The 21,266-nt window shown below is 49.2% G+C and overlaps 1 long non-coding RNA gene across 2 annotated transcripts, besides 2 other annotated features; it reads left to right on the top strand.

The window, feature by feature from the left end:
• Positions 2,566-3,065: an enhancer, noted in NCBI's record as "H3K4me1 hESC enhancer chr20:1856587-1857086 (GRCh37/hg19 assembly coordinates)". NCBI's record gives its function as "activates a minimal SCP1, AML or CMV promoter by ChIP-STARR-seq in naive H9 embryonic stem cells {active_cell/tissue: H9 hESC(naive)}" and the evidence as "EXISTENCE:reporter gene assay evidence [ECO:0000049][PMID:30033119]".
• On the top strand, positions 3,144-8,215 carry LOC124904857 (uncharacterized). 2 transcript variants are annotated; one of them, XR_007067496.1, is made up of 3 exons: positions 3,144-3,348; positions 5,959-6,039; positions 6,820-8,215. It is a non-coding gene; the product is annotated as an uncharacterized LOC124904857 (long non-coding RNA). The 2 variants fall into 2 exon arrangements; XR_007067495.1 differs by having other exon boundaries at positions 5,959-8,215.
• Positions 7,979-8,138: an enhancer, noted in NCBI's record as "active region_17460". NCBI's record gives its function as "activates an Ori minimal core promoter by ATAC-STARR-seq in GM12878 lymphoblastoid cells {active_cell/tissue: GM12878}" and the evidence as "EXISTENCE:reporter gene assay evidence [ECO:0000049][PMID:35858748]".

Below are 21,266 nucleotides of genomic sequence, written 5' to 3'. Positions count from 1 at the left end.
AAGCTTGCCCCTTGGGAAGCTCTGTCCTGGGACCCCCGCACCACCAAAACACACCTGGCCTAGTTCATATTCAGTGCTGCAGGCATGTACAGGGCATGTACGCAGGCATGTACAGGGCACCTAGCAGGTGCTGGGATCACCCAGATGGAAGGTGGACCTCCTCCAAACAACTACATGAATCTCACAGGATGGCAGGACAGACTTAAGCTCCCTGTGCCTCAGTTTTCTCATCTCTAAAATGGGGAAGATAATACTGTTACTTCTTCTGTAGAGTTGTGCTAAGGATGAAATGAGAATGAAGCACTTAAAAGAGGACCGAGCACATACTCAGTGACCAATCAACAGCCGTTTTTATTGTCACCTCCAGATCCCACATAGGCAGCTCTTCTCGAGGTCTATCGTCCTGACAAATAAAGCGCTAGTTCTGTCTAGGTCAGAATTGCCTCTAAGCCAGTGGTTCTTAAACTCCAGTGTGCGCTTCAGAATCCAGTAGCATCATGTGAAAAATGTAGCCACAGCAGGTCTGAATGGGCTTTCTAGGAAGCTGCCTGCATCCCATTCTGACACAGGTGGTTTGCAGCAGGGCTCAGACCCATTGCTCTGGGGGGCACCAATGAGACTTTGTCATGGGAACGTGACTCCTGGTGACCAGCCCCTCCTCATCGCCATCAAGGGAGGTTTAGGATGTAGCATAGTGGTCAAGGCCTTGCCAGGAGACCTGGGTTCAAATCCCGGCTTCCCTCTTCTGGGCAAATGGCTTCCCTCATTTCCTTTTCTGAGACACAGAGGTTCCACAGTTCCCATCTCCCTGTCTGAGGGTTGGATGAATGCCTATCCAGAGTGGGCCTGAGACATGTTGCACACCCAGCAAGCAGGAGTGGCTGCCACCTTCGCCCCGCAGCAGTTTGTCTTCTGAGGCTTCTGTCCCTGAGTGTTTTATTTTCTGTTGATAGATTCCAGCTCATGTTCATGGGTCTGCACCTGCATACAAATGCCAAGAGGACTGGCCCACCCCCGGGATCTGTCCTCACCCGCTCCTCACCAAGCACCCGGCTGCAAGTTCCCAGCAGGGCTCGGAAGTCCCGGGGCCTCCTGTGAAGCTGGGACCACCATGCTGGTCCAGCCTCCTTGGTTGTGGTCGTGGCCGGAAGCAGCCAGACTGCTGGCCCCTTTGAGAGCGGGTGTCTCTGTGAGAGAGTGACTGCTGGGAGGTCTTCAGGGAACTTGGGCGCCGCTGGGACAATTGGTCGCTGTTTGGGGGAGTGAGGTTGGCAGGCCCTTGGCCCTCGGCACTGAGCCTCTGCCAGGCCCCTGCCAAGCCTGGGGCTGGTTTCCCACTGCCTGCTAGTTTCAGGGCCATTTGGGGAGGGGGCCCAGGGGAATTCATTGCCCCTCTCTTCAGCGTCTTTGCTGTGGTCCAGGAAGCCCGGGCAGTGTCTGCTCTCAGACAGCAGGTCAGCACAGCCTCAGACATGTTCTGATGATGCCCGCTGTGTACCAGGCTAGGGGCGGGATACTTAGAACCAGCCTCCCAGATGCCTTAGAGACCTCTCCAATGGGCTGCCAGGGGCCTCACAGGCCATGGTAATGCAGAAGCCCTGGCTAGATTGAGCCCTTGCATGCTTGTTAACTCTGGTTGGCCCTAGTCAAGAGCCTTGGCTGGGGAAACAACTGACAAAACAAAGCCTCTACCCTCCTGCAACTTACTTTCTCACGTGGGGAGGTGGGGGTCAAAGCTGTGACAGTGCGGGGGAGAAAAATAAAGTGGGGATGGATACAGGGGGATGGATACAGGGGGGATGGACACGGGGATGGACACAGGGGGATGGACACAGGGGGGATGGATACAGGGGGGTGGATACAGGGGGGTGGATACAGGGGATGGACACAGGGGATGGATACAGGGGATGGACACAGGGGGATGGACACGGGGGGATGGACACGGGGATGGACACGGGGGATGGACACGGGGCTGGATACAGGGTGGTGGACACACAGGGGTGGTGTGGGGGTGATTTCTGCCAAGGGGTCGGGGAAGGTCTCTCTGAAAAGGTGACATATGAGCGGAGATATGTAGCTATGTGGAGGAAGAGTGTTCAGGCAGAAGGAACAGCATGTGCAAAGCTGCTGAGCAGGGACAGGGCCTGACATGTTTGAGAAAGGCTGGGAGGCGGGTGTGACTGGAGCAGACGGAGGGAGAGGGGGAGGGGAGGCAAGGAGGCCTAAGCAGAGAAACTCCTCCCCACCACCATTGTCCCATCTTACAGACAGGAAACTGAGCCCAGAGAGGTTAAGCAACTTGCCCGAGGCCATGCACCTGGTCAGTGGAGGTACCTGGCTGGATGCCCACTGTGATGTCAGAGCCACTTAGCACCATGTGACTAACATGCTCTGTTGTAAAGCACAAGTGGCACCTTGTAATCCGTGACCTGGGGTCTCTGAGTGCTAGTGGTTTCCCTTTTAACTGTAAGCCCATTTGGCAAGGTTGTGTGCTGGGCACCCAGGAGCCGGGCCATCTTTAAGGACCTTCCTGAGATCTGGAGTCTGACAGGCCTGGGTTCGAATCCCTCTTCTATACTCACTAATCACTGGGGTTTTCTAGGCCTTGGTTTGCTTCTCTGTAAAATGGGCCTAATGCTGCCTACCTCAGTGGCCTGGCAGGAGTGAATCAGCCCGAGATCTGGTGGATACTTAGAAAACATTTACCACCTTCAGACCCCCTCACCCAGGCCTCTAAAGCTGTGGTCCTCAAACCTCACAGTGTCCTTCCCTGGGAAGAAACAGCCCTCCCCAGAAGTGCTGGGTCTGCATGCCTGGGGGCTTTAAACGGGATTCTGATGGGAGGTGCTGCAGGACCACCACTGCGGTAAGGTTTCTGCAAACCTTGTACAAATGGGAGATGTTGGCATCCCCCACTGTCTCTTCCCAGGGCCCTTGCTGCTTTTCCTTTGTGGCATCCATCACACTTGTAATTACTTGTTTAGCATCTGTCTGCTTCTCTGGGCTGCGTGTGCTGGCCTTGTTCATGGCTGGGTCCCCAGCACTGAGCAGCCTGCCTGGGGCGTAATAAGTGTGTGTTGGGAAAACAAACAAACAGGCGCCTGGCTGGCTGAATAAATGCTCGGATGCTCTTCAGAGCAGCTGGACTCAGTGTCCCCCCACCCCAAGGCCTGGGTTCTGACACAGGCTCTGCGGCCACACACTTCTTGTGTGATCTTGGGCAAGTCATCGTGTTCTCTGAGAAATTACATTGATTACTGAGGAGGAGTTGCGTGCAGAGGATCCCTGAGAGCTCTGGAAGAACTTGTTGGAAGTGGGTTTTTGGAAGAAGAAACTGCATGAGCAAAGGTAAGGAGGGAGGAAAGTGCACAGCTTGTTCAGGGGACGGCCAGATGGCCAGGGGGTCCGATGCTCTTCGTACACCATGGTGTGCGTGTCTGTGTATGGGGGAGTGTGGGATGTGTGTTTATGTTGCTGTGTGTGTGTGAGTTTCAGAGTGTATATGTGTGTGGTGTGTTACTGTGTGTTGTGAAGAGTGAGAAGCTGAGGCACAAGGAGGGTAAGGGTCTTACTTGATGTCCCTGGGGTGGGTGGCACGTGGTAGCCACCCTCTCATGCATGCCCTTATCCTCTGCTCCCCTGGCCTCAGGATGTACCAGGCACTGGGGTTCCATCAGCTACAATGGCAAACAGAATCCCTGCCTTCACAGGGACTGCTGTCGCAAATAGAGGGGTGACATTGTGGAGCAAGGGCGCAGTTGGCTCTGAGGGCCTCGAAGGTCAGGCTGTTGAGCTTAGACTTAGGCCTGGAGGCATGGGGAACCGTGGGAGGGATCTTGGAGGGGAGGTGCCCTGGGAGACATTGAGGAAGGAAAATGCACCATGAGATAAGTTCTGCAGCTGCAGAGCATTGGGCGCTGCTGATGGAGTAATCAGGAGACATTGTGCTCACTTCTTCCCTTCCTAGAAGAGGAATCGCAGCGCAACCGGGGTGAGGCAAGTGTATGGGCAACTTAGCTCAGTAGCTAGTGTCTGTGTGTGCGGTGTGTGTGTGCTTGTGTGGTGTGTGTGTGTGTGTGTGTTGTAGAGTGACTCAGAGTGGACTCTGCACCTCTGCGAGAGGGAATTCTATCATGGAAATAGTTTGGTGGCCCTCGGAGGCACAGGGTCATGCAGCAAGCTGGCACTAGAATATTTCAAGCTCGCAGTAATGAAAGCAAATGGCAATTTGGCGTGTCTTCAGGCTTGAAAGCCGCAGAGCAGTGTTCAGTCATCAGCGGCGGTTATCACCCACCGATAATGGAGGCTGCTGCTCGGGGCCCGGTGAGGGAGAGGAGGGTTCAGAGAGGTTAAGTGACTTGCCCAGCATCACATGGCCGGTAATGGGAGGGCAAAGTCCAAGGTGCAGAGTTTGGCCTTTCCCCCTCCCCCAAGGCCAGGCCGCTCCCCAGAATGGATCATCTCTGAGCATTTTCTGAGTGCTGGTTTCCATAGCAGCAAGGCCGTTCCTGCACAATGGATCCCCATCTTTCCCCAGCTTTGCTGCTGTGGGGGCTGCAGGGGTGGGGATGCTTGGTCTTGGGGACTGCTGGGGTGCCAGTAGGAAGGAGCTGGACAGGCCATTTGGATGATCTTGGGGCCTCCAGCCTTTACAGAAGGGCCACACCTGTTCAGTGTTTTCCATTTCAGCTCTGGAGTTGGGTCCACTTCCAGGTAGAGGGTAGGGAGAGAGAGGACAGAGAATGAAATAGGAAAAACACCAGAAACAGAGAATGGGAAAGTCAGAGACAAAATAAATTTTACAAAAGCCAAGACAGAGAAAAGGTGTTTGCTTTCCAGACAAATTATTTCATTTCATCTTTACAACCTTGGGAGGTAGTTTCTGTTTACTCCAAATTGACAGATGAGGAAACTGAGGGCAAATGCAGTGCTTCTCAAAGTATAGTTCAAGAGCCAGCCTGGGAGGTCACAGGGTGAAAGGTTTTGGAGAGGACAGTGGTTAAAATGCAGATTCTCTCACCCCATCCTGGACCTATAGAATCTGATTCTCTCCGGTGGAACCAGGACTCTGCATTTAGCCAGTTCCCCAGGAGAAATTTCTATGAAGTTTGAGAGTATCCACAGTCAGGAGGGTTGCCCTGTGCTATGCTGAAGTTTATGCAGCACATAAACTCAGAGCCAGGATTTAGGACCCAGAAGGGACCAAGATAGAGAGGAAAGTGACAAAGAGAAGCTTATATGCCTCAGAAGAGATGGCAAAGAGCAAGAGAGAGAAATAAGACTGACAGAGAGACACATTGGGAGAAGTCCTCTGAGCTAAGAGAAGGAGGAATCTGGTAGGACCAGCGTGTACTTTTATGGATTATGGATTGCCTATCACTGTAAACACAGCCCTCACTTAATCCTCACAGCAGTCTGATGAGGTAGGTCCTATTGCTCCCATTTTCTGGATAAGGAAACTGAGGCAAGGAGAACAAAGGGGAAGAGCCTAGCTTTGACCCCTGGTGGCCTGGCTTTGGAAGGGGTCACAGCTTTAACCACCAGGCTAGGCTGCCTCCTAAGCAGAAAGCTCAGGGACTCAGACTTAGACTCCAAATTTTTCTCCATCGCCCTACCTGTGTGACTCTGGGAAGCTTTCTGTGCCTCAGTTGCCTCACCTGCAAAATGGTGATAACAATACCTGTGTCAAGGAGTTCCTGTGGGGCCTTGTCTGAGACGGTACAAGAGCGCAGAGCAGTACCTAGTGCTAGAAGTGCTCCGTAACAGTTAGCTGTCAGTAAATACCTAGAAAGTCCAGGAAGCACATAAAAGTTTCTCACAAATGGTGGGTTTCTTGAGGCCTCTTTGCCCTGAACTGGGGCAAAGGATGGTGTCTTAGTCCATGTTATGCTGCTATAACAGGATGCTGCAGACTGGGTAATTTATAATGAATAGAAATTTATCTGGCTATGATTCTAGAGACTGGGAAGTCCAAGAGCATGGAGCTGGCATCTGGAGAGGGCCCTTGGGCTGCATCATCCCATAGTGGAAGGCAAAAGGGTAAGAGATTGTGCAAGAGAGAACAAGAGGGAAGGGTGCTGAGCTCATCCTTTTACCAAGAACCCAATCCCACGATAACCAACCCACTCCCATGATAATGGCATTAATCATTCCTTAAAGGTCCTACATGTCACCACTCTTGCACTGGGGATTACATGTCCAATATGTGAACTCTGGGGGATACATTCAAAACTTAGCAGAGGGGAAGAGGCTCCCAGTGAGTCTTGCTCTTCTCTGAGTCTAGAGCAAACCTACCAAACACAGAATCATTGATGACACAGAGACAATGGCCCGACTCATGGCCCTATCTGCCACTCTAAGCCATTGGACTCCTGTGAGCCTCACCAGGTTACACAGGGAAGCCCCAACCTGTGACTCACAAGAGCTCACTCCCAAGTCTGCTCTGCCAGATGCTACGGTGGCTCTGGTTGTCACTATTATGTGGACTATTATGTCTACTGTGCACCTGCCAGATATCCTCTGGGTACATTGGTGCCATACCTTCACCCTGTGACTGGGGCGCAGGAGCCCTGGGGATGCCCCACTCACCCTTCCAGGCAAGAATGAGTCCTCCCATTTTACAGATGAGGTAACAGAGGCTCAGAGAGGCAAAGTGATGGGCTGTGGGACACACATCTGGAAAATGGTACAGTCAGCACATACACACGCACACATCTGGCTGTGCTCTGGTTGCCTCTAACAAGCATTTATTGAGCCCCTGCTGTATACCGAGCATTTGTGATATTTGTGAGCATAGTCATTACCTACATCCTCTCATAGGCTGGAGGCAGCGTAAGAGGAAGGAGATCCTCCTACATGGCGTGATGGGTGCAGCAGCAGCAGCAGGTGACACTCATGCAATGTGCCAGGCACACACCCAAGGATGTCTCATCACTCCATGCCACAGCCCTGTGGTCACGTGGTGAACATAGCTTGGGTGGTGATGAGCAGCCAGCCTTGGTCCAGCCCCTGTTCTCAAGTGTGGGTGGTCTTGGGTTGACTGGGGTTGGGGGGAGGTTAGGAAACAAGCCCTGTGACCATTGGACCTTTCTCAGGTAGTGGTGGGCGGTGTGAGCTTTATGTCTTTGCTCTCAGGACAACACAGAGCAGCTGATAATGCTGCTGTTCATTGACCCTGTGATGGTACTGTGGTGTAGTTTATACAATTGAACCTTCGGATTTCACTTACTACCTGAGGGTGGGTTTTTAATGGTCTGTTATTATTATCTCCATTTTACAGATGAAGAAAACTGAGGTTCAGAGATTCTAAGTAGGGAGGATTTGAATCTGGCGCTTGATTGCCAAGGCCTGTCCCCTAACTGCCTCCTGGTTCTCTGGGGAGGGAGGGATGAGGCAGGTCAGGGGCTCTGGGCTGGCTTCCCAAAGGAGGAGGTGAGGGCTAGACTGAGACTTGACGGACAAGCAGGCGTGGGACTGATGGAGCGCGTGTGTGTGTGTGTGTGGAGAGGGGGTGGCGGCTTGGGCAGGGCTTACTAGGTGGGGCCCAGCGGGGCTGGAAGGTGGGAGCAGGGGAGCCGGCTGCAATCTCAGCTTGTCACCTGGGTTACCCTGTGTTAGTAAAATCAAAGTGAGGTCACGCCCCCTCCTGCACTCAGAAGACTCCTGTGGCTCCACGTTGCATGTGGAGGAAAAGCCGAAGTTCTGACAGTGGCCTGCCAGGCCCTGCCCTGGCTGACCCCGGCCACTCCTCTGACCTCATGTCCAGTCTAGGTCCCCTTTGCTCACTGAGCTCAGGCCGTGCATTCAGGAACCACGTCAGGGATGCTCACGGCCCTTCTGCCTGCAAAGCTCTGCTCGGAGATATCTAGAGGGCCCCCTTACCTTGCCAAATCTTTTCATAGACAGGCCTTCCCTGACCATCTTATTTAAAATTGTGACATCCCCCTTTCCGCACCCCTGCCTCTCACACTCTCGCTTCCCCTTTCTTGGTTTAATTGCTACTTTTTCACAGCACTTATCAGCATCTGACATGCTATGTATTTTACTTGCTTATTTGTTTAGTGCCTGGCAGTCCCTGTAATGACGTCAGCTTTAACTGAGATTTTGTCCATGTTATTCACTGCTATATCCCCAGAGCCTAGAACAATGCCTGGCACATACTAGGTGCTCAATAAAATAAATTGTTGCCTAAATAAAAATACCAGCAATGACCCCATCTCATCATCATCCCTCTGCAAGTCATTTTATTTTTTTTCCAGTTTTGGAAGTTGAGGCTCAGAGAAAGCAAGGAGCTTACCCATGGTCATGTAGCGAGTAAAGGGGCAGGGTGGGTGCCCAGCTCTCCTCAGGAAAGAAGGACTTACTGCCCAGCTATTGGTGGTGCAGCAAAGTCCCTGTTGGAGATTGCCCAGTTAAGGAGAGCAGTCTTGCCTGAGGTCATGTCCCCTCCCTGGGCAGCTCATATCTGATGACCGATTTATTCAGGCTCTAAAGGCCCAGCCCAAGCCACTGACCGCAGCCCCAGGCTCTGGTGGCAGTGGAGAGAGAAGCACAGCTTACTTACACCTGACAGCCCTAGGCAGAATGTTTTAGATGCCATATAAGTTGAATTATGTCTTCTCCCACCCGCACCAAATTCATATGTTGAAGCCCCAACCCCCAACACCTTAGCATGTGACTGTATTTGGAGATTGGGTCTTTAAAAAGGTAATTAATTACATGAGGTCATTGAGGGTGGATCTTAATTCAGTATGACTGGTGTCCTTTATAAGGACAACTTTATAAGAAGAGGAGATTAGGATGCAGACACACACAGAGGGAAGACCAGGTAAAGACACAGAAAGAAACAGCCATCTACAAGCCGAGGAGAGAGGCCTCAGAAGAAACCAGCCCTGCCAACACCTTGATCTTGGACTTCTAGCCCCCAGAATTGTGAGACAATAAACTTCTGTTGTTGAAGCACCAGAATATCCTGTGGCTCCGCATTGTGTGCAGAGGAAAAGCGAAAGTCCTTAGAGTGACCCCCAAGGCCCTGCCCTATCTTCTCTCTCTAGACCATAAGTTCCCTGGGAGACGGGTGCTTGTCTGTCTTCTATACTGTGTCTCCAGTATCTAGTGTAGTGTCAGAAACACAGCAAGTGCTCAATAAGTATTGATTGATTGGATTTGCAAAATGACCAGATGTACAAAGTCATTGTGATGCTTAAGTGAGGTTTTAATTGTGAAGCATCATGGCACAAAACAACAGAAATTTATTGTCTCACAATTCTGGGGGCTAGAAGTTCATGATCAAGGGGTCAGCAGGGTTGGTTTCTTTTGAAGCACCAGTATCACAGCCAATTGTGACACTTCGTTTTTTGTTTGTTTGTTTTTGTTTGTGTTTTGAGTTGGAGTCTCACTCTGTCTCCCAGGCTGGAGTGCAGTGGCATGATCTTGGCTCACTGCAACCTCCACCTCTTGGGTTCAAGCCATTCTTCTGCCTCAACCTCCCAAGTAGCTGGGATTACAGGCACCCGCCACCATGCCCTGCTAATTTTTGTATTTTTAGTAGAGAGGAGATTTCACCATGTTGGCCAGGCTAGTCTTGAATTCCTGACCTCAAGTGATCTACCCGCCTCAGTCTCCCAAAGTGCTGGGATTACAGTCATGAGCCACAGCGGCTGGTCGAGTGTGATACTTCGTTATGGCAGCGCTAGCAAATTAATCCAGTGCATTTGCTCATCCAGTCCTTACAAGATCTGCACAGTAAGTCTCATAATTACCCCATTCTGCAGATAAGGAAACAGGCTCAGAGAGGGACAGCGACTTGCCCAACATGACCCAGTTCAGCTCTGTTCTGACCCCAAAGCCAGAGGCAGCGTGCAGTCTAGTGAGAAGATGGGCTTTCACAAGCAAAACTGATGAAGCTGCCTTGGCCATCTGCCCTCATGACTGGGCAGTGCTGTGTGAGCTCAGAGGACCAAGGGCTCCATTTAGGGCAGTCAGCCAGGCTTCCTGCAGGAGGCAGAAGCCCCTGGGCCTTGCAGAGTAAGTACAATTTCGTTAAGGATAGTGAAACCACAGAATTCAGGGTAGACAGCTGCTGTTCAGGGGTGTGGAGGGAGGAATCCTCATGGCCTCCTTGGGTAGGTGCCTCAGTTGCTCATTTGGACAGAGCACAGGGTCCAAACTAGGTCATGGCCGGTCGGGGGAGGAGAGGAGGAAGTGAAGAATTGACGCCAGGTGAATCATCTGGCATGTGTAGTGTGAAGTTATCACATGAGACTGGATTTTAATGTTTTGGTTTTAGGACCCCTTTATACTCTTAAAAATTACTGTGGACCCCAAAGAATTTTGTTTATGTCAGTTTATCTATTGATAGTTACCATGTTAGGAATTAAAACATTTAAGAAACACACTTGGCCAGGTGTGGTGACTCATGCCTATAATCCCATCACTTCAGAAGGCTGAGGCAGGCAGATCACTTGAGGTCAGGAGTTCGAGACCAGCCTGGCCAACATGGTGAAACCCCATCTCTACTAAAAAAAATACAAAAACTAGCTGGGTGTGGTGGTGCGCACTGGTAGTCCCAGCTACTTGGGAGGATGAGGCAGGAGAACTGCTTGAATCTGGGAGGCAGAGGTTGCAGTGAGCTGATATCACACCACTGCACTTCAGCCTGGGCACAGAGTGAGATCTGAAATAAAAAAGAAAAAAGAAGAAGAAAGAAAGGAAAGGAAGGAAAGGAAAGGAGGAAAGAAAGAAAGAAAGAAAGAAAGAAAGAAAGAAAGAAAGAGAAAGAAAGAAAGAAAGAAAGAAAGAGAAAGAAAGAAAGAAAAGAAAAGAAAAGAAAAGAACACTCCATTAGTTGTCAAAGCGAGGTCATCTTCCTAACAATCTTCTAGTGTGTTACTATTATAATCCCATTTTACAGATGAGAAAACTGAGGTCCAGATAAGCTGAGTCATCCAAAGTCTCACAGCTACCATGTGAACTGAGCCAGGATTTGAACCCAGGCATTCTGCCTCCAGAGCCCAGGCTGTTAACTGCTGCATCATGCTGGACATGCTGCACCTGCCCCCATTCCTACCCCAGGTATGGAGTTTGGACATTATCCTAGGAGTCTTGGGCTAAATCCCTGGAGCCTGTCTATAGCCAGTAGAATGGGGTACAAGGAGTTAAGCTTTCCCGAGATGAGATTTCAAACCGTGAAAGGGATGCTTTACCCCAGAGGCACACCAGGCATCCCACACCCACCTCCACACAAGACAGGGGTGAGAAGTCTGCTCTCACAGCCAAAGCCTTTGAAATGTTATTTCCTGAAGTGTTGCCTCACCCCTACCACAGCTCAAAGCCTCTGGGACTGGGGCTCCCTCCAGGAAGCAGCTGGTCCCCATCCTTCCTCCTGCATAGAGCCTGGGACCAGCCAGGACCAGAGATAACTTAGCTCTCTGTAGGGTATAGGGCAGGATAAGTCCTGGCTAAAATCTGCCCTCCCACTGAAAGCCTTGCCCAGCCCACATGCACCTTGATTTAGCTCATTTTTACTGTATTTGCAGGGGACCTCCTGTGTGCCATGACGCTTCACAATCAGAACCTCGCTTAAGCCTCATGACAACTTTATGCATCTGGTCATTTTGCAAATCCAATCAATCAATACGGAGCACTTGCTATGTTCCTGATGCTAAACTAGATACCAGGGACACGGTGCAGAGGATGAAGACAGATAAGGACCCATCTCTTGGGGAACTTACCGTCTAGAGAGAGAAGACAGCCAGACGAGGAGAGAGGCAATCGTGGGCAGTGCAGGAGAACAGGAAACACAGGGGGCTTTGCAAGCACAGAATAGGGACTCAGTAAATATTCGTGGTTGAATGGAAAGCTCTTAGGATAATGGCTCTCAGGTAGCTCTCCAATGTGCCAGCCTATTGTGTTAGTTAGGGCAGGATAACTGCTGTTACAGACAACCCCCAAATCTCAGTGACTCATAATCTGTTTACTTGTCACTCAGGTCACAGTCCAGTGTAGGTCAACTCCTCATGGTCACTCAGAGACCCAGGTCCTTCCATCCAGGGGAGGGGATCTTGATTTCTTTTTTGATCTTCTGCATCCCCCGGCAGAGGAGAGGAAAAGACAGGGTGTGGAGGAGCATGGGGGAGGTTTTATGGGCAGGCCTGGAAGGGATTCATGGCCAATTCACCTGGTCTTGTGTGGGGGTGTAGGTAGTGACCTAGGAGTGAAGGAAGGAGCAGTGTCATGCCCAGCAGTTCCCCCAGGTGAATTCAATGGAGGAGAGGTGATTTTCCTAAACAATGAGGGTTACTTAGGAAGGGGGCATGGATTCTGGGTGGTCACAGCCTTCTAACCGGTATATATTCACTGCAGTATGCTAGTCAGGATTCTTTTAGCTTCAACTGATAAAAACCCAACTCAAACTACTTAAGGAAAAGAGGGAATGTATTGGTTCTGGTCTAGGAAGGTGGTTTCAGGAATGGCTGGATACAGGAACTCAACAGGGTCATCTTTTCTGGTTGGCTTTAGCCTCCAGGCAGGCTGTCAATGTGTGGTAGGGAAGCAGGCCACCAGCAGGTACACCCAAACATGTATGCAACAAGCCCAGCAAGGCTGGCAGGAGCGAGGCATATGTATCATTTATCTGTGTACATCTATAATATGTATGTCATATATCATGTATCCTCTCTATATATCATATATCCATGTACATATCACATATGTCATATATTGTATATCCTATATATATCATATATATGTCATATATCCTCTATACACATCATACATCCATGTATATATATCTATCATATACATGTCATATACCTACATATATTATGTATCCATATCTATGCCACATACTCATCCCAGAAAATCACTTTGGTCCTGAATGGGACCCATGACCACTCTTGTTTTGGTGATCTTGATGGAAACCCCAAGTTTACATGGTGTGGAGGAGGGACCATTTTCCGAAAAAGGGACTCAGACAGACAATACCGTCAAGTTCGCTACAGGAGAGATTACTAGATCTTTCCAAGAACATTGGGTCTATCTCACAGTCCTAGGTGTCAAAAGGAAAAGAGAAAAGCAAGGTGTCAAAAGGAAAAAAGAGGAAACTTGAGAAAAATAGGTGTCTAATCTCTTTGTTAATAGCCAATTTCTAGGAGCCAGGTATGGACTATGTGATTTTTATGGCATCTACATATAATGTTGCTTTCTTCCTCACTTAAGTTCAGAAGCAGTAGGAGACCGAGGAGTCAAGAGGTGAGGAACAAAATGTCAGCTTATTACAGATAAAGCTGTTTAGAGAACGTGGCTTGGGCATGCAGGCAAATGGAACTGCTAACACTGATCCTCAGAGTTGGACAGCCTTACCTTTGCAATCACAGGTAGATGGATAAACACAGACCTCTCCCCTCTGACTCCTGGGACAGAACATGTCTTCACAGGTAGCTGATCCCAGGTTGAGAGAGGGCTCCCCTCTTCATACTCACCAATCATTCAGTCCAGGTTTGTTGCTCTGATGGAGGCCACCCCAACCCCCAGCCCCTTTTCAAATGTGCACCACAGTAGGGAATGAGGCCAGGACCTGAGACCTGGCTGCCTGGTGGGTAGACCCTGGAATGTACAAGCAAACAGCCCCTAATGCCAGGAGCTCCTGGTTCCCGAGGAAACAGATGAAATTTGTGATGGGCAGAGAGTCAGAGAAAGAAGCATTCTTGTTTTCCTTTATTTTTTCAAAAATGACTATTCGAATAATACAATCCACTGTGAAAATTTTAAAAGGAAAAAAAAGCCAGGAAAGAATTGTAAAACTGCAAGCCACCTTCAATTCCATCATCTGGTGTTAACTATCATTACATGTTGGTGTATATCCCTTGGGCCTTTGTGAGTGTGTGTGTTTAAACAAAATTAGAATCTTGCTCTATGCATAATTTTTTATCTGGCTCTCTTTAACATTCTATATAAAGCATTTCAGCATGTCCACAAGGCTGGAGGCAGCACGAGGGCAGGAACCAAGTCTGCTTGATGATTGCTGTCTCCCCAGGGCCTCCCATGTGGACCATGCTAAAAAACAATATTGCAGAAAAGAACGATATTCACAGGTAATATTGATTAGGTGACTTCTAGGCATCACCATGCATCATCGAATTACATTCTTACAAGATAATGCAATGGGCACCTCTATGAACCATACCTTGTAGAAGAGGAAACTGAGGCCAGGGGAGGTGAAGTAGCTCACACAAGGTCACCATCAATGTTATATCCCTGCATGAACACATCCTGTATGTGCATCTTCCTACTTGACACATTTTCTTCTTGCCACTTTCCAGTTTTAATCAGGGATAGAGGGAAGCTCTGTTTACTTGAGAGAGGACTCTTTATTTGGAAAGAAGGTCTATCCCATTATGAGAGGGGGATGTGCTGAGGACTGTCACCCAGCCTTTGAGCCCCATTGGGATTCTTTTTTTTTTTCTTAATTTTTCTTAAGACAAGGTTTTGCTCTGTCACCCAGGCTGGAGTGCAGTGGTGGGATCTTAGCTTACTGCAACCTCAAACTCCTGGCCTTAAGTGATCCTCCTCCCTCAGCCTCCTTGCAGCAGGAGCCACAGCATCCCACTGGGACCCTTAAGCAGCCTGGGCACAGGATGGTGATGGGTCTGTCCTCACTTGGGCCCTGTTGCCCATGACCCACCTGTCCCAGCTGTGTGTGTCAGTGCGTCTGCCTCTCTGCCAGATGTTGGAGTCTCCCAGTATGCCCACTGACTATCTTTCAGAATTCCACAGGGGCAGATGCTCTTAATGCCCCACCTGAGTCCCCTTGGCATTTCTTTTCTGTTTCAGGACACATGGGCCCTGTGTCTGGCTGCTGGCACATGAGTCTCTGCTTGAGGGTTTATCTGGCACTGGACCCTGCTCACCAGGAATTGATGCCTCCTGGGAGTAGCCTCCAACCAATTACTCTAGGAATTGGCATTGAGATCCTCCAGCCTCCTACCCTTGAAGTGGGCAACTCTGAGGCACTCTCGGTGCCGTCTCGCAGAACTCCCAGGAGGACTGAGCTCCCGTGGCCCACGGTGCTAACTGGCTTTCTAATAAACACTTTATGAGCCTTCTTCCCTTCCCTGTCTCACTTCCCTCTCCCTCCTCCCCATATCAGTGCTTCCTGGGGTCACATCTCAAATAAGATTGGATCCTTGGCTCAAGGTTTGCTTCTTAGGGAACCCAAACCGACACTTTTTCACTCTTTTCTTCCCTGCAGCCACCACCCACCTGAATTCCCCCACAGGCTTCGTCTGCATTCTTTGCCCTCTAATCCATTGGCCACACTTGTCCTCAGAGTGGCCTTTTATGTTTTGCCCTACTCCCTATGTGGCTGATTTCCCCTGGCCTCCAAGCTGAAGTCAGCCCAGCATTCAAGGCTCTGTATGTTTCTCCCTTGTCAACCTCTCCAGTATCTTTTTGAAGTATGACTCATCCTATGCTTAGGCCATACTGACCTATGTCATCTGTTTCTGCCTTTGCACGTGCTGTTCCACCTGCCTGATGTGCCCTTCCCTATGCTGGTCATTCAGAAAACTTCTACTCATCCAGCAAGACCCATCTCAGAAGTCACCTTCTCTGTGAAGCCTACCTAGATCATCCTAGATATTGACAGCCTCTCCCTTCTTTTGTGCCCCATTTGTATATTATTTTTCCCTTGTATACAATACTTATATTACTTTATTGTAATTATGTGTTTGTATTCTGTCTCCCCAACAGGACTGTGAGCTCCTTAAGGGCAGGATCAGTCCTATTCTCTCTCACCCCAGGGCCTGCCTAGCACTGACTCTGGGACAAATTAGGTCCCCAATGAATACAGATGTCCCTTGCTATCCAAATTTTCCTATGTACTCAAAACCTAGAAACAAAATAGGTTAAGACAACATGGCATCCCACATGATTCTGAGTCCATTGTCCAATACCCGCTACCTGAATTTAGGAGTTCTATGGATTTGGATGGCAAGAGATACTTGTGTATGAATGAATTAATTACTTAATGAATGAGGGCATTCAAAGCTGAGAGCGTTCATCAACTCTGGGCACAGACCTGCGTGAAGTTGGTGGAGAGGAGGGAAGGAGGGAACATGGAGATGCCAAGCCAGAGCCAAGAAAGTTGTTTTGCTTTGGAATATATTATTTTTGCAGGTTGCTATAGTTACCGCTGTGAAATTAAAAATTAAAACCTTGTGAAAGAGAGAGGGTTGACTGAGATGAGGCAGTTCCTTGACAGGCTGAGTTATTTATCTTTTCCCCATGTAACATCTGGTTATGTGCTTGCAAATTTATTTTTAATTCAGAGCTCTAAAAAGGATTTCGTGGCAGTGCGAGGTGCCTGGATGATTGGCTTGGGAGGGAAAGGTTAGAGGGTGGTATTTGGGGCCTGCTGGTGACCCCCAGCTTCTCTCCTGGCCCTTGCTCCTGCTTCTCACACAACCTCTAGGAATCAAGGGGTAGCTCGAATGTGTCTGGACCCCCTGCCAATCAAGCAGCAGCCGTAACCATGGTTCCCAGATGCAGAGCCAGGATGGAGGCTGCTGTCTGGTTCCTGTGGTTCTTTGAGTGTGAGGACAAGCATGGCTGGGAGTGGGGAAGGTTTCGAGTTCCTATCTCTCCAGTCTGTCTCCTAACTTGTGTGTCTCTGAGTGTCTCCTGGGATCTTTCTGGACCCCTCATTCTGCCTTCCAGAAAGACAACAACTGTGGTTTAGGGGAGGCACCACTGGCCAGAGTTAAGAGATGTGGGATCTGGGTCCAGCCCAGCCACTGCTGGCTGTGTGACCCGGGGAAATCACCTTCCCTCTCTGGTCCCTGTTCTCTCCATTCTTCAGAGACTGGTTGGAGGCTGCAGTCACGCATTGGATCCCTACTGTAGGAATCTAAGTGAGCCTAAGGAGGTGCCAGCCATCACTGGAGCCTATTTTTGTGCTTTCGCCTGACTGCCCAAGGTGACAAGTTGGGAACCTGGGACAGGCTGCCCCATGGGTTCCTTTACCCTACCAAGCTTCTTCCTTCCTCGTACCTTTGCACTCTGTGTTTTCTGCCTGGAGCTTTCTTCCCCTAGATGTTCACAGGACTCCCTTCTCCGTCCCACCCAGTCTTATACGTCACCTCCTCAGCAGGGACTCTCCGCCCAGCCAGTCTGGAATGGCCTCGTCCTGCCTCCCCCACCTTGAAGCCTCTGCTTTTCTCTTCCAGCATCTGCGCTGCCTGTGAGTGTGGTATATTTTCTGTCTATCTGTCATCTGTCTGTCTGCCTTCCTGTTGTCTGTCTTCCTTGCTGGAATGTCAACCCCATGAGAGCAGAGACATCGCCTGACATTGTCTGTTTGGGTCACAGCTGCTTCCCCAGCTCGCGGAGCGGGGCCTGGCATGTTGGAGGAAGTAATAAATGTTTGTCAAGTAAATGAATGAACGAAGGAAGGAATGAAGAAAACATTTATTGGTCTCTGCTATATACTGGGTTAGGTTAGGACAAGCTACGATGGGTTAGGACTAAGGGGAAATGAATGAAATTAAAAACTCCCAGACCAGGAAAAATGAATGCCAAAGACAACTTTAGAGGAGGAAATGAATTCTTTCATAATGGCTTAGGTGTGAGTTGCGTATGTGTGTATATATGTGTGGGGTGGGTAGAGGGGGCGTTTTCTGCCATGGTAATAATAATCATATAGGTGGGTAACAGCAAATAATTGTATGTGTAAAACTTAAATCCTCTGACAATAACAAAAGTCATAATGACCATGAATCGAGTACTTATATGTGGGACACAGTACTTTAGATACATTAACTCTTTACACAAGCCCCCGTGAGAACAGGACTTGGCTGTTCTTTTCACTGCTGTATCCGCAGTGCCTGGGACATAGCAGGGGCCCAATATACATTTACACAATGAATGAATCTCCATTTTATATTTGAGGCCTTTGATCAGAAAGGGCAAGTGACTTGTCCAAGGACACACAGCTGGAAAGTGACAGAGCCAATTGAAACCAGGTCCGTTTGGCTCTGTCCATCTTGCAAAAGAAGCTCTTCTCTCTACGTTCATTGGCCTCTTTGAGTCACTGCCCACCACCACCACCACTCCCCTGAAGAAATGACTCCCCACCCCCTTCCCTCACTAACCCTCACAACATGCCTAAAACTCTGCTTAGCTCAAAGTCTGAAAGATCTTGGGCTAGATGGGAATGGAAAACAGGCCGAGCAGTTTTAGCTACCAACATTGCAAACACAGCCTGGGCCCTGTTGTCTCTGAAGCCTCCTGGCTCATTGTCATCTTTCACTATGCCTGACGAGGCTGGTGTGGGAGGACCAGGGAACAATTTGTGGGCAGACACATACATTCCAAACTTCTTAACAGGTCTGGGCTTATCACCGAGGCTCCCCCATGGTTGAGCTCCAAAAACCATGGCTGAAGCCCTGGGCCTGCATGTTCAGCAGGGATGAATAATTAAGCAGCCACCAGGCGCCAACAGCTTGATGAGGGGGGTTTTGTGTAGCTGACAATGCTGTATCCCAGCCCAACACTGATTTTGGGTAGAGGCTGTTGTTTCTGATGGCTGTCTCAGTGGTGCCCAGAGCAACAGATCCCCATGGCAGAGGGACTTATTTGATTATTCTAGTAGACAGAGGATGTGCCCTGGGGAAGGCAATTGCTGCCAGACTGACCCTCCTGGACATGGCTGGGTGATCTTGGGGAAGCCTCTTCTTGGTCCCCGTTTTGTGCCTTTGTTTCTTTGGCAAAATGGAAAAATGAGGAGTTATTGAGGAGGCGAAGTTAGGTCTCCTTAAAAAGCCCTTCCCTTTATGTTTATCCCTTTCCCTTCTTCCTACATGGAACAGGGATGTGATGCCTAAGACCTGGCAGTCATCTTGCAACCATGAGGCACTAGGAATGAGGATAAAGGACAGATAAATTCTTAAAAGTAAACTGTAAAGCACCTTGTAAAGGTGAGGGACCTCTCTGCTGACTTGGTTATGGTTTGCTTCCCCCATTAGGATATGAGTTCTGATGACAGGGACTTTGCTGATTTTGTTCACTTATGAGCACCTGAAACTGGGCATCCCCTCAATAAACATTTGTTTAGAATGATGTATGCTATTATTTGTTTAGAATGATGGATGGATGGTTATTACAAGTCAAATCAAATATGTTTCCTGGAAGTCCAATCTGTTGGATACTTGGGACCCTGGAATTTTCATGGTAGGTGGGTTCAGGGCAAGACCCCACCCCCACTCCTCATGGGTTCACATGGGCAGGTCTAGTGGCTACGTGGCCTGAGGAACAACTGCTCAGCACCCTTTTCTAGGCCCTGAGCCAGGCAAACGCCTAATGCTGGTGCATTTTGGAAGAGATAGAAAGGGGGAGGTACATCCCCTGGGAGGTAGTGTGATTCCATAGAGGGAACAAGAGCTCGGTGACAGGCAGTCCCTGGGTCCTATCTTGACCCCACTCTTGGGAAAGTTAGGAATGAACTCAGCTAGAAATAATAGAAACCCTTCTGCAGAGGCATAATCCAATTGGTGTTTATTGTCTTATAAGTCCTGGGCAGGCCACCCGGGACCAGTGTGGCTCTCACTGATGCCACTGGAGACTCAGGCTCTGCTTGCCATTCGTCTTTGCCATCTTTAGCCTGTAGCTGTTTATCCTCATTCCTAGTGCCTCATGGTTGCAAGATGACTGCCAGGTCTTGGGCATGGCATCCCTGTTCCATGTAGGAAGAAGGGAAAGGGATAAACGCAAAAGAAAGGGCTTTTTAACTGTGGAGGAAGACTGTTTCTGAGACTTCTACCTACATCTCATTGATTAGATCAGCGAGGGTCACATGCCACTCCTAGTTAAAAAGGAAGCTGGGAAAGTTAGTGTTCTGGGTTTTCTTGCAGCTAGCATGAGAATAACTATTAGCTGTGTGGGAGGAAGCTGTCCACACATAGTTTCCACAGCCACAGGCCGATTTCCCAAACCCTGAAGCCTCCTTCACCCATGCTCACTAGTGATGCTGGAACTTCCAGAAAGCAGGTCCTCTTCCTGCTGTCAGTGTAGTGATCAAGATGGGTTGTGAAGCCAAGCTGCCGGGTCTGAATCCCTACTCTACCGAATACCAGCTGTGTGGTCCCAGGCACATTCTGTAACTTCAGTGTGCCTCATTTTCCTCATCTGTAAAATGGGGATGCGGACCCTTCCCTGTGGAGTTCCTTTATGAGGGTGGAAAATGTTCAATCATCTGAAGGACCTAGAATAGTGCCTGCCTTATTGTAGGCATTCAAAAAAAATACAGCTCTTAACAACCTAAATGGCCACCAGTGGCAGGCTGGATAAAGAAAATGTACATATACACTGCAGAATACAATGCGGCCATAAAAAAGAACAAGATGGTGTCCTTTGTAGGAACATGGATGAAACTGGAGGCCATTATCCTCAGCAAACTAATGCAGGAACAGAAAACCAAATACTGCATGTTCTCACTTATAAGTGGGAGGTAAATAATGAGAACTCATGGACAGAAAGAGGGGAACAACAGACACTGGGCCTTCTTGAGGGAGGAGAGCGGGAGGAGGAAGAGGATCAGGAAAAATAACTATCAGATACTATGCTTAGTACCTGGGTGACAAAATGGTCTGTACACCAAACCCCCATGACACGAGTTTGCCTGTATTAACGAACCTGCACATGTACCCCTGAGCCTGAAAGTTAAAAAAAAGTTAAAAAAATCAGGAAATTCTTTTTCTCTCAAAAAACAAATTTTATATGTACATATAAATATATATCCGTCTTATGATTGTTGTTATTATTATTATGACTATGGTTACTAAGATAAGACTTTGATGTTGGTGAAAACAGTAAGGCCTCAAATGCCTGGGGGTGGTCCCAGCTTTGTCCCAACCTGCTGTGTAACTTCAGATGAGCCCCTATCTGGGCCAGTGTCCCCTTTGTACGATGAGAGTCTGGATCCTGATGGTTGGGTCTTACAGGCCTTCCCGGAGAGGACTCAGATGGAATCCTCCTATCAGACACTCACAGGCAGAGTGTCCTGTGATCACATCTTCCCGGAAAATGGGTCTTATCACAGGAAGAGCAGAGTCCAGGAGCAGGGGAAATTTTGGCAAGTTTGGGGGCTCTCCCAGGATTGCTGATCCCAGGCTTGGTGTCTGGAGCTGGGCCAGGGCTGATCAAGCTTTTCTGTGTGGGGAGGTGGAGGCTCTGGGCTGCCCCCACCCCCAACCTGCAGCCTCATCCTGCCC

The sequence above is a fragment of the Homo sapiens genome, chromosome 20, assembly GCF_000001405.40.
Source record: "Homo sapiens chromosome 20, GRCh38.p14 Primary Assembly".
Lineage (NCBI taxonomy): Eukaryota > Metazoa > Chordata > Mammalia > Primates > Hominidae > Homo > Homo sapiens.
The sequence above is the reverse complement of the archived record's forward strand: the minus strand, read 5'-3'. Positions and strand labels throughout refer to the sequence as shown.